The sequence below is a fragment of the Homo sapiens genome, chromosome 18 (assembly GCF_000001405.40).
Source record: "Homo sapiens chromosome 18, GRCh38.p14 Primary Assembly".
In the NCBI taxonomy this organism is placed as follows: domain Eukaryota; kingdom Metazoa; phylum Chordata; class Mammalia; order Primates; family Hominidae; genus Homo; species Homo sapiens.
The window spans coordinates 28,168,550-28,180,288 of record NC_000018.10 but is presented as its reverse complement, the minus strand read 5'-3'; the positions used below and the strand labels follow the sequence as shown (position 1 = coordinate 28,180,288).

The 11,739-nt window shown below is 44.0% G+C and overlaps 1 protein-coding gene across 2 annotated transcripts in view; it reads left to right on the top strand.

The window, feature by feature from the left end:
• Nucleotides 3,159-11,739, top strand: part of CDH2 (cadherin 2) — a 244,252-nt gene continuing 235,671 nt past the window's right edge. For both annotated transcript variants that reach the window (XM_017025514.3, NM_001792.5), the window contains exon 1: nt 3,159-3,326. In XM_017025514.3, coding sequence (XP_016881003.1) covers nt 3,267-3,326 — 60 coding nt within the window. In that variant the 5' untranslated portion in view covers nt 3,159-3,266. The remainder of the gene's footprint in view (nt 3,327-11,739) is intronic.

Here is an 11,739-nt window from a genome sequence, read left to right as displayed (position 1 = left end):
AAACCAGTCTTCAGACAAGTAATGCTTTGAGCAGGGGCTAAAAATCTGCGAGTTTGGTCATCAGTTGCCCAGGACAGTGAATGGCCCCGTTAGCTAATCTTAGGTATGGTATTACTGAGGTAAAGCTGTGTTTGGATATCATAGTCAACACCAGATCTACTTTCATTAACATCAAATGGATGCACAAAGTCTCCAACAGCATGATTTTAGACTAGACTATTCCTTCTTGTAATCAGAGGCCTATTATTTATTATTAGCAAGATTTGGCTGACCAGGTGATCAACTTAAAGTGAGGCAAGATGCTAAAACAATTCACAACCACTGAAGAGTGAGAGGCATGCAAATTGGACTTTTAAAACATGCTGCAAGTGCTTACTTAAAGGATCAAAAACTGTTGGAATCAGAGAATTCCTTGACTGACAGCCATTCCAAAGGAGATTTTGAAATCATAAGTGCTTAATTTATAAAGGACATGTTTAAAGCTTCAAGTAAATACTACTAACAAGAAATAGAGTTATTCATGTTGAAATTTGTTCCACCTTTAAATTAATCAGAATGGCAATAAACATCAATGGGTACTGCTAGGAGTGATGAGGATACAGTCGAAACCCCACGACGAGGGTCGAAGCTTAAATCTTAGCCATGGAGATGAGATCTCTACATCTCACTCTGGAATACAACAAACATATCCCCATATCTCAACTGAATTTTTACTATTATTTTGCATGACTCCCAGAAAGCATAATTTATAAATACTCTATTGCAAAGATAACTTTTAGGCGGACTAGCAATAGTGTGACAATAATATCTAGCAAAAAAAGAAGAGAAAGGGTAAGAACAAGCACTTCTGATTACTATATTAAGTGTTTCATCTCATCTTTTAAATTTAATTAACATAACCTTTCTTATTCTTTTGAAAAGAAAGAAAATCCAGGAAAAATTTTGTTTCATAAAAAACTTACAATATTATGTTTTAATTAAAATTGAATAAGCCTCCCTATGAATATTAAATTTTTAAAAGCCTAGCCAGCAACAGTACATTATTAAAAGCTGTATCAGTTATGTCAAGAAATTAGTAGCTGGTTTTTAAAGGTTCATCATCAGATTCTTAAATGATCGGTATCTTGAAACTCAAATAAAGTTAATATTTCAGTCACCCAAAGCAGAAAAGCAAGCAATAAAGGCAGAAAATATTCATTAACTGCAATGAAGTTCACCGATCTCCCAAGTGTTGAAAAGCTTACATAAAACGGATATTTCTATTTACTTGTAAACCTTTCTTAAAAAAGGTTCCGGAAAATTTATTACCTCACCAGAATTAGAAAAAACAAAAACTGCTCCCCATCCCCCGCTCCATTCCACAAATGCTTGTGACTCAAACTTGTAAAGTCTCTCACTGTGTTGCACTTGAAGTTCATGCCTTAAAGGAAGCCAGCAGAAATCCTTTACGTGGTGAGAATTCTGTATCAGTCATTTTATCTTTTATATAATCCTATTTTCTCAAGTTCCGGCTTTTAGTTTCTCTCTTTTTTAAAAATTGTTGTTAGGGGTGGTAGGAGAGGGTAAAAGTACCCTGAAACTGTTGGCCCCAAATGTGAACAGTACCACTAACAGGTAGTAATAGAAATAGAAAACGGGAGATTTCAAATAAAATAACAAACATGCACTCTCAAACTCCCAGAGGGGACAAAAGAAAACAAAACAAGAACACAAAAACTTGGGCTGTTCCAGTACATCCTCAAGGGTGGGAGCTGAAGGTGCGAGCTCCAGAGAGGAGCCGCGGCCTCCGCCCTCCCCCGCCCGCAGGTGGCTCCCGGCGAGCGCCTCAGACAACAATAGCTAGGATGAGCTTGGCCTGCGTCCTTAGTTTGCTGTGTCTGCCCCTGCCAGGAAAGATTACCCATCTCCAAAGAATGACAAAATAAAGAAGCGTACGTTAGGCTCCCAAGGAGACACCGCCCCCCCTTCCCCACCATTCTTCATCTCCATTAGATTCCCTACCGCGGACCAAAGATGAACCTGCTACCAATCAAGTTCCTGCCCAAGTTATTTTATTTCCCGCAGCCCCTCCACCTGCCGGGGCGGTGCTCGGCGCACTCTAGGCTTCCCTCCGGCGACCCCCCGCGGGCTGCAGCAAAATACGGGGCGCTTCGGCGGGGCGGGGGCGGGCGGCTGCCGCGGATCCGGCCGGCTACAGCCGCAGCTTGGTGGCCTCCGATTGGCCACGACGCGGGCGGGGAGGCTCGGCGGAGGAGGGAGGCGGGGGCGAGGGCGGCGGCGGCGGCGGGAGGAATAGGAGAGGGGAGCGGGCCGCGCAGCCAGGCAGCGCGTGGGGCGAGCGCGGGGAGAGCGGCGGCGGCTCGCCCAGGTCGCGCAGCGGAGGCCGAGCGGGGTGCGCGGTCGGCGACGGAGGGCGGCGCGCGCGAGTGAGCGGCGCAGGGCGAGGACCGGCGGGCGGGTGCCGGTGCGCGGGCAGCAGGGGCGGCTGCGGCAGCAGCTGCGCGGGACGGAGCCGCGGCGGGAGAGACCGCGCCGGCCCCTCGCCTCACCCCCTTGCGGCCGAGGCCGGAGAACAGTCTCCAACTCGCCGGGGGACCGGAAAGAGGAGCCGAGAAGCGCCCCTCGGCCCCCACGCAGCGGAGGCGCGGAGTGGCGGGACTGCTGCTCTTTGTGGGTGCAGCACGCACGACCCGGAGCGCCCTCCCCGCGGCGCTGTCCCCGGCGTCTTCGTCGCGCCGAGCGGCCCTGGAGCGGGGACCCGGAGGAAGCAAAACCACGAGCCCGAAACCTCGCGTGGCGGAGCTCTTGGGGAGCGCCATCCGCTCCACTTCCACCTCCACATCCTCCACCGGCCAAGGTCCCCGCCGCTGCATCCCTCGCGGCTTCCGCTGCGCTCCGGGCCGGAGCCGAGCCGCCTGCGCTGCCACAGCAGCCGCCTCCACACACTCGCAGACGCTCACACGCTCTCCCTCCCTGTTCCCCCGCCCCCTCCCCAGCTCCTTGATCTCTGGGTCTGTTTTATTACTCCTGGTGCGAGTCCCGCGGACTCCGCGGCCCGCTATTTGTCATCAGCTCGCTCTCCATTGGCGGGGAGCGGAGAGCAGCGAAGAAGGGGGTGGGGAGGGGAGGGGAAGGGAAGGGGGTGGAAACTGCCTGGAGCCGTTTCTCCGCGCCGCTGTTGGTGCTGCCGCTGCCTCCTCCTCCTCCGCCGCCGCCGCCGCCGCCGCCGCCTCCTCCGGCTCTTCGCTCGGCCCCTCTCCGCCTCCATGTGCCGGATAGCGGGAGCGCTGCGGACCCTGCTGCCGCTGCTGGCGGCCCTGCTTCAGGTACGCGGCGGTCCCCGCGGGCCGGGCCACGGGCGGGGTGGGGCGGGCGGCGCCGGGTCCCTTTGTTCCCCGCGCCGCTGCGGGGCCGGGCTGCGCACCCGGGAAGGGAGGTGCCACGCCGCGCCGCGCCGCGCCGCGCGGCCGGTAGCTGCGCAGGCATCGGGCTCCGTCCGGGCGCCGGGGCAGGGTTGCCGGGGCCAGTAGGTCTCTCGCGCCTTTCCTGGCGGGGCTCTAGGGGCTGGATTGCGGGTCCCCTCTGCTCCTTCTTCGGGGCCGAGCAAGCTCGCGGGGGGTGTCCCCAGGCAGCAGGAGGGTGAGGCAGGATAACTCCCAGGTTTTGCAGTTTTCTGTGCCTTTCGCCCCTCGCATAGTACTTTGCTCCAATTTTTTTGTTTATTTCTGCAGGGATGGGTCGCGAGTTTACAGTAGGAATTCTCACTCTGGTGTCTTAGTTACGGGACTTGCCTCCACCTTACCCCACCCTGCACCCGTGCGCCTCCCGGTGCTCAAGGGCTCTACTGTCCTATTGTCTTTATCCCAGTCTGGAGTTGCCTCCTTTTCTTCTTCTCTTGCCCTCACAATATTCTGTGTTCGTCCCACCTGGAAAGAAAATCTGGCCCTCTTGCCCGGAGGAGTCTCTGCCGGTCAGCGCCTGCCTGTAGAACGAGTCTGGCCTCTCACGCCTAGTATCTCCCCCGGGCGAGAAGTTCCGTTACGCGGCTGCTCCTTTCTCTGTCCGGCTGCCTGTGCCCTATATGCGCCCCGGGGGCGCCTTTGCCTGGAGCCTTCCGTACTTTTCATACCCTCGGGAGAGAGCCAGCGAGCCTTTTCATTTAATCTCTACTAAGAGGCTCCTCCGCGGCAGGAAGCACCTGCTCCAGTCCGGGCGCAGGTTCCCTCGCCACTGCACGCTGCGGGTTCCCAGCCCGGGGGCAGCCCAACTTTCCGCCGCCTCCAACCCGAGGATGCCCCCAGGCTCCTCCCGACCAGCCAGCCCAGGCCTGGAGGCCACTTCACACAGCCTCGGCCGGGACCCTCTAGCTGGGCGGGTGCAGTGCCCTGGTCCCAAGTCGGTCTCCGCCTGCCGTGGGGTCCCTCGAAGGTTGCGGGAAAGGGGCGTGCCCACCCTCGCCGCGGGGCAGGAAAATCCACGGAGGGTCCCCCTGCCTGTCGCCCTCGGGGCAAGGGGAGAGGTGCTCTACTGCCAGCTGGCAGCCCCGAAAAGTGCGGACGCAGCTCGGAAGTGCCTGCTCCGGGGGTGGAGACAGGTGGTGTGGATTACCCCGCTCCGTGGTCTTCACGGGTCAGGGCCTGGCGCGCTCCGGCCCGCCGGGGGGTGAGTGCTGCTGGGGCGGGGGCAGGGGCTGGACGGGGCTGGCCTCCGCAGTCTCTCGCGCTTTCTCCCGCAACCCCTAGACGGTCGTGGGCCGCCGCCGCGCGGAGCCCTGTCCATGGTGCGCCATGGTGCGGCACGCCTGTCCCTGCCCGGCTCCACGCTCTCCTCCCGGGTCGTGCTCTCTCACTTTGTCTCTCCCCACCCCTGCCTCCCAGGCCAGGGTCCCAGCGTTCCTTTTCCCTTTCTTGGATTTCTTCTTTTGTTCTTTAGTCTCCTACCGGTCTTTCTCCCTTCCCCCACTCGCCATCCGCCACTCGGCTCTCTCCTGACTCGGGGATTTCAGAACTATTAGACTAGACATTTTTGGCCTTTGCAGTTTTGGAGAGTGGATGGAATTCCTTCTAACTTGGGGGAGGAGACCTGCCAGTCACTTGCTAACAAAAGTACCTCCTGTTATAAAACCGCCCTTTATTCTCCCAGCGCACACTCCTCATTCTTTGACCTCCTGTCACTTCATTTATTGTTTCTTCTTTAAAAATGGGGTTTATTAAAGAGGTTAGGCTGAAGGAGGAAGAAGGAAAAAAGTCCTGCTTCTAAAGTATTTGAAGTTAAATGGAAGGCAAGACAAACTTAAAGACTCCTGTGTATTAGGATTTTTTTTTAACAAAGGAGATGTGATACATTTTTTACAAATCTTACTTTAAAAACACTAATTTTTGGACAGCATTGGGTCGTCTTATTTACAGACAGTAAATCCTCAGTGTGAATCCAGCAGCAGATGGTTATTTTCACAAACTTTTTCATCTAAAAGTGAGTTTTAATTGAATACTGTGCAGCGAAGTTAGGACACGAAGAGACATTTGTTGGTCATGAATACTGTGGGAAATCTATGTGTGTTACAAGTGGAGCACTCTCATTTTCTGTTTTAGTCATCTGCCTTGAAGTCAGGTGTGAATTTTCTGTCAGTTTTTTCTTAAGTGTTTCTAAAAATATCGTTTATAAGCATTAAATAATGTGCTTTTCCATTGTATGTTCTTTCTCAGTTTCTTCTATACCAATGTTGACTTTTTTAAACCTTCAGGAAAGGAGAAATTATAACTTTCTCATCAAGTTATTTGGCAGTCCTCTAATTCATGAGTACAAGTCAAGCAGTAACATTGAATGATTTGAAAGGTCATTAGGAGTGGAAGCAGAGCAGTTTACGCAACATGAGTTTTAGGGTTAAGTGCACCATGTGGATTGTACAACTGAGATTAGAAATGACTTTGTGCTAATGGTCTGCTTTACACGCCCGAACAACAAAGCTCTATCTGCAAGGTGAAAGTGGCTGTCCTGCAGTCAGCTGCTATTAACAGTCTAGGTTTTTTTTTTCTTTTTTTTTTAAATTCCAGACTAAGCAGCCGATAGTTTTAGAAAAGAGAATATGTAGGTTATTAGTGCAGATACGGAGCACCCTTGTTTTTTTACAAGCTAAATATAATTGAATATTCAAAGGACTCTGTGCCTTGAATTGTTAACTGAAGTGTCTGTGTACCTTATTTTACTTAGAGAAATTACTAGTTTAGTTAGTCTTGTTATGTAGATTTACATAATTCTAGTCAATCTTGCATGTTATGATGTTCAACATCAAGATTTTCTTTAGTCTTATTTTAAGATGTTAGCCTTTTTTATATTAAAAAATCCGAATTTGAGCATTCAGCTTACCTGATAAAAGTATAAAATATTATATCACAAAGTTATAACTAGCTTTCCTTTTAAATAATACAAGTGACTTTCAAATCTTTACATAGGTTTATTGTTAAGAAAAAAAATCAATGTTGCTTTTACCATTGACCTAGTTAATTAATATATTAGAAACCTGTGTTGTTTTTCTAGTTCACATCTTAATTGCATAACCCCATTGTTCTAATTTAAATACGTTTGTATGGGTTATGGGGCATCTAGGACAGTATTTTAATGTTCATAGAAATTCATTTCTAAGACTTAACAGATCCTGGTTTCAACCCTGCGTGAGGACCTTGGAAAAACGATGGATAAACCTTATGTGTTTTTCACCTATTAGGTACAGATTTTAAAGAAATTAATATTCAACATATGAAGTATACATAAAAAGAAGCAGCTTTGTTCTAGAATGTGGCAAGGATTCAGCAGTGATTTTAAGTGTAAATCGTGTTTATTCTCAGTATTTATTTGATTTTCATGTGCTTTTGAAACATAAGTTCTTGTGAAAATAAGAAGAGTTAACTTGGTGTTCAGAGTTTACTTACTAGACACAGTTATGTATATTTCTTTGCTTTTCTTAACTTGAGGCATGCGGTCATTACTAATAGGTGAAAGGTTACAAACATACTAGGTGTAATTTGAAAAACAGTATTTTATGTATCCTCACTTGTTTTTAAAACACTATATATTAAACCATAGGTACTTTCTGACTTTTATACTTTCATCAAAGTCTGCCCTAACCTTCTAAAAGTTCAGACTGAGATTTTACAAGGAAATACTTTTTAGATATTTCTTGCTTTTTACATGTAGAGACTAAAATCTTTCTGGAGCAGATTATTTTCATGATGGTATAGAGCACCAAACTGTCCTTAATTTTCTTTTTCATTAACAATTTCAATTCTTAAATCTGTTGTGCCTCATTAAGCTTTAGGGTTATTAATAGGGAAATGTCAAGACTTAAAGCAACAGTTAATCTTGCTTTAAATCCTATTTTTTTTAATCCTAAGTGATTAAAATCCCCATCTTCTTTTCAAGGGGTTATTATGAAGTTAGAAGAGTGATTTTTAAAAATCAGAGCTGTTATTTAAGAAGTGTTGTGTTCGTATATACACTACCATTTTTCCCAGGTTAACATTCAGATTTGTTCTTTTGGCTCAAATACAAAAAAGTAATCAAGTTTAGGCACTGCTTAGATTTGGTGGTGGTTTTTGTCAGCCATTTAAAAATGTGATAGATTTTTAAATTTGGATTTTGTCATCTGAATAAGTATTTCGCTCTGACAGCAGTATACTTGCTAGAACCTAAGTATTTTCAAGTTAAGAGTTTTAAGTTGAAACATAATTGGTACCAACAAATCACTGTGTCTCACATTTCTGTTTTTTTCTACTAAAATTTTATTTTTATTTTAATTTTTCAGAAAAAGACATCAGTTAATTTGAGCAGATGCTAGTCTTTGTATTTAACTAAATACATGTAAGTTTTAATTAAACAACCTTATCCATGCCAAGGAAGAGGTATATACATATTAATGTTTTAGTAAGAGCTATATCTTCTGCATGTATGAAGTGATAGGTCTAAAGTAGGCAGAACAAGGTGAATTCACAAGCTAAATGGGACTTTTTGAAAGATGTAGATTTAAACATTATGATTTATGTTATAATAGTCTCTTTAAGGAAAATTTAGATTAAATTCTGCTTAGATTTTTATTCCTTGTCGCTCACTCTTTGGTACTCAGTGCACTTCCTCATCTGCTTCCAACTGTACTTACAGCCCCCAAGCCCTTGGATTGCATACACACACGCACACACACACACACACACACACACACCCCAAATGTATGTTGAGGACTGCTATATACATATGAGTCTCCTGCAACACTGAGTACAGTCTGATATGAAGTGTCAATCAATAATTGATTGATTACTTTATGTCATGAAAGGTGGTTTAGGCACCAACAGTATAATAACTGATCTGTGTAAGTGAATGCCCTTGTGTAGTGTCAAGGGCAAGAGCTAGTGTCCAGGGCAGGAAGCATGGGGTTCTGATTTCGTCCAGATGTAGTCTACTCTCTTAAAGTCCCGTGACCTCATTTTCCTCAACAATAAAATCTTGGGCCTAGTTGGATTAGTTGATCTCTAAGAGACTGTCCAGTTGCATGATTCCTGGGGCTACTTAAAAAATATCTCAAACACATCTCCTTTTCGAAGGTTGTGGAAAGGCTTTTTTCAGCCGAAAATGTAAGAATTTTCAGATACTTGGAGTGATAGAATGTGAGTTTTGAAGATTTATTAACCGTAGTTTATCGTGATAGGTTTAAAGTCATCTATATTTTTTATATGCCTGAATTTTAAACTTAAAATTTTCTTCATTGGCTGTGCTACCTTTGCCAGTAAAAGTAAACAATTTTGGGGAGGGGTTTAGGCTTAAAGGAAGGTAAGTGTAATATTACTGAGAATAAAAATTATTTTTAGGCTTAAAATGAAGGTAAGTGTAATATTACTGAGAAAATTTTTTTTATTAGTTTTATGAGCTCATGTTTCTTTGAGAGAAGATAGCCTTCAGGAGAGCCATTGAATTGAGTGATAGGGGGTCAACATTAAAAATATAAGTGGGTCAGCATTAAAAATACAGCTCTAGCCCTTTGTCAAGTTTTCCTCTAGCTTTTTTTTTTTTTTTTTTAAAGACAGTCTCGCTCTGTCAGGCTGGAGTGCAGTGGCACAGTCTTGGCTCAACTACATCCTCCGTCTCCCGGGCTCAAGGAATTCTCCTGCCTCAGCCTCCTGTGTAGCTGGGATTACGTGTGCCACCATGCCCAGCTAATTTTTGTATATTTAGTAGAGATGAGGTTTCACCATGTTGGCAAGGCTGGTCTCGACTCGAACTCCTGACTTCAGGGAATCCGCCTGCCTCGGCCTCCCGAAGTGCTCGGATTACAGACACGAGCCACTGCTCCTGGCCTCCTCTAGTTTTTTTTTTTTTTTGGTACAGGTATGCATGTATTTATGACAAACACATGGTATAGATACATATACGAAGATATTTATTGAAGCATTGCTTATGATTACGAAAGATTGGATTATTTGATCTCTAAAAGTCCATGAGTAAGAAATGATTTAAGAAATTATGGCATAATGTTAAGCTAAATTTAATAACCCCTGCTGTAGGGAACAAAACATTTTCTACTAGTTCAGGTTCAAGAAAGCGATTGTTAAGCCACCTCATGTTTTGGGAATAGTCATGAACCTAAAAAAGCTACAGAGGGCCAGGCATGGTGGCTGATGCCTGTAATCCCAGCACTTTGGGAGGCCAAGGCAGGTGGATCACGAGGTTAGGAGATCAAGACCATCCTGCCTAACACGGTGAAACCCTGTCTCTACTAAAAATACAAAAAATTAGCTGGGCATGATGGTAGGCACCCGTAATCTTAGGTGCTTGGAAGGCTGAGGCAGGAGAATCACTTGAACCCGGGAGGCGGAGGTTGCAGTGAGCCGAGATCATGCCACTGCACTCCAGCCTGGGCAACAGAGCGAGACTCCACCTCAAAATAAAATTTAAAAAAGCTACAGAGAAGGACAACCAAAATAAATGAGGATTTCAGGCTTCTGAATGAGGATTAATTTGACACAGACCACAATATAAGCTATAACTGAGAAATATACAATCAAACAGTAGATTTAAGAATGAAGATAACCTAAACTAACACTAGGACAATCCAAGTTAGGTTTAGAACAACCTATAGCAGCCTGAGCTATAAGTAGATCCAAAGGAAGATTGGCTGAATTAATGGATAGCTAAATAATGGATACGTTTCCATGCTGACATCATGGAATAACCACTTTATGCTGAGTTCTCAGTGCCTGAGAGATTATAATAGTTGGGTAAACCATGGTAATATTTCACATTCTCCTGACTGATTGAATGTTTAACTTTTCATCTGTTCTAATAGTGGAAGTGTAATTGAAAGTGGACCTTACTAGTATGTGGAACTGGAGATACAGAAGAACATTTAGTATATGAATGAGAGTTCTAGTGTACCCACTGCCTTGATTAAGTAAGCAGTTTAACTTGGGTTTTTCAAAGTAGCATTGGGAGAATTAGTTGTATAGTGCTTTAAAGCAGCTTGAGCTATTTAAAAAGAGTTGCTATTATACATATGGTATGGGAATTATAATGCAGAGATGTTTGATCCATGATCTGTTCTTAGATTTTCTTTCATAAAATATACCTAGCTATAATTTAAAAATTAGATAGTGTACTTACCTACTCCCATATATTGTAGTTTTAATTTTAATACTGATTTTTGTGTAATTAAAAACATTAATTGGCCATTATAATTTAAAACATGTATGCCCAGATTTTCTTTCCATTCTGATATGTTACTTAATGTTTGGGTGGATTAAATAATTAGTTTTAAAAAGTAAATTAAAAGGTGCATAGTTTGGAGTTTTTATTATTCCAGAAATCACTGGCACTAAAAATGTAAAATGACTCTTTTCTCCCTTCATTACTAAAATACACTTTGAGTTTTCTTAACTTTCTTCTGTTGCACTAAATATTGGATTTTGATGTTACTGCTTTCGTTAAAGGTTGTAAGGATTGCCCTTTTAGTTTTTTCCCACATCTGCAGTTTTAAGACATTCCTCAATTTATTTTATATTTGGTAATTGTCAGTACGTCATTCACAGAACTCAGTAGAGCAGATACAGCAGAGAAAACCCTTGAAACTAGGTATTTGCTGCTGCCTCTTTAAAGAGTTTTTCAAGCCAATGTCTGTTAGTATTAAACCTCAGAAATTAAGTATTTTTAATTTCAGGGAAGGAAACTATTATGTTTCAGTTCATTGTTTCTGTAACTCTATGAGATAGGTGGTTTTGCTCTCATTTTAGAGATGGTAAAACTGGAACTCAAACATTCTGAATATGAGAATCCAGAATAAAACCATATTTGTCATATTCAAGTTGGGCTTGACTACAAAGCATACGGGTTTCTCCCTTTATCAGACTGCAGCCCTTTTTGTATAATACCCAGAGAATGACTGTCACAATAAAGAAGAGTTTCAGTTTCTCTCTACTTAGTTGATTTTTTTTTCTTTAAATAATTAACTTTTGAATTACACTCTCTGTTTAATCTTGGCCTTAAATATTTTGCTTTCTTTTGGCATCTGAAGCCAAAACATAATGCTTGGTTAAGATTTTCATTCTTTTTTCCTGTGGTCTTTAGGAGAGAAAAAACATTTTAGAAGCATTCATAATCAGTTTTTAAAAGTTCTTCTAATAGTTTTGATCAACAAATAATATGCTGGTAAGTACTCAAAAATAATTTTTTTTAATGAATCTTGGAACTTAAAATACTTTC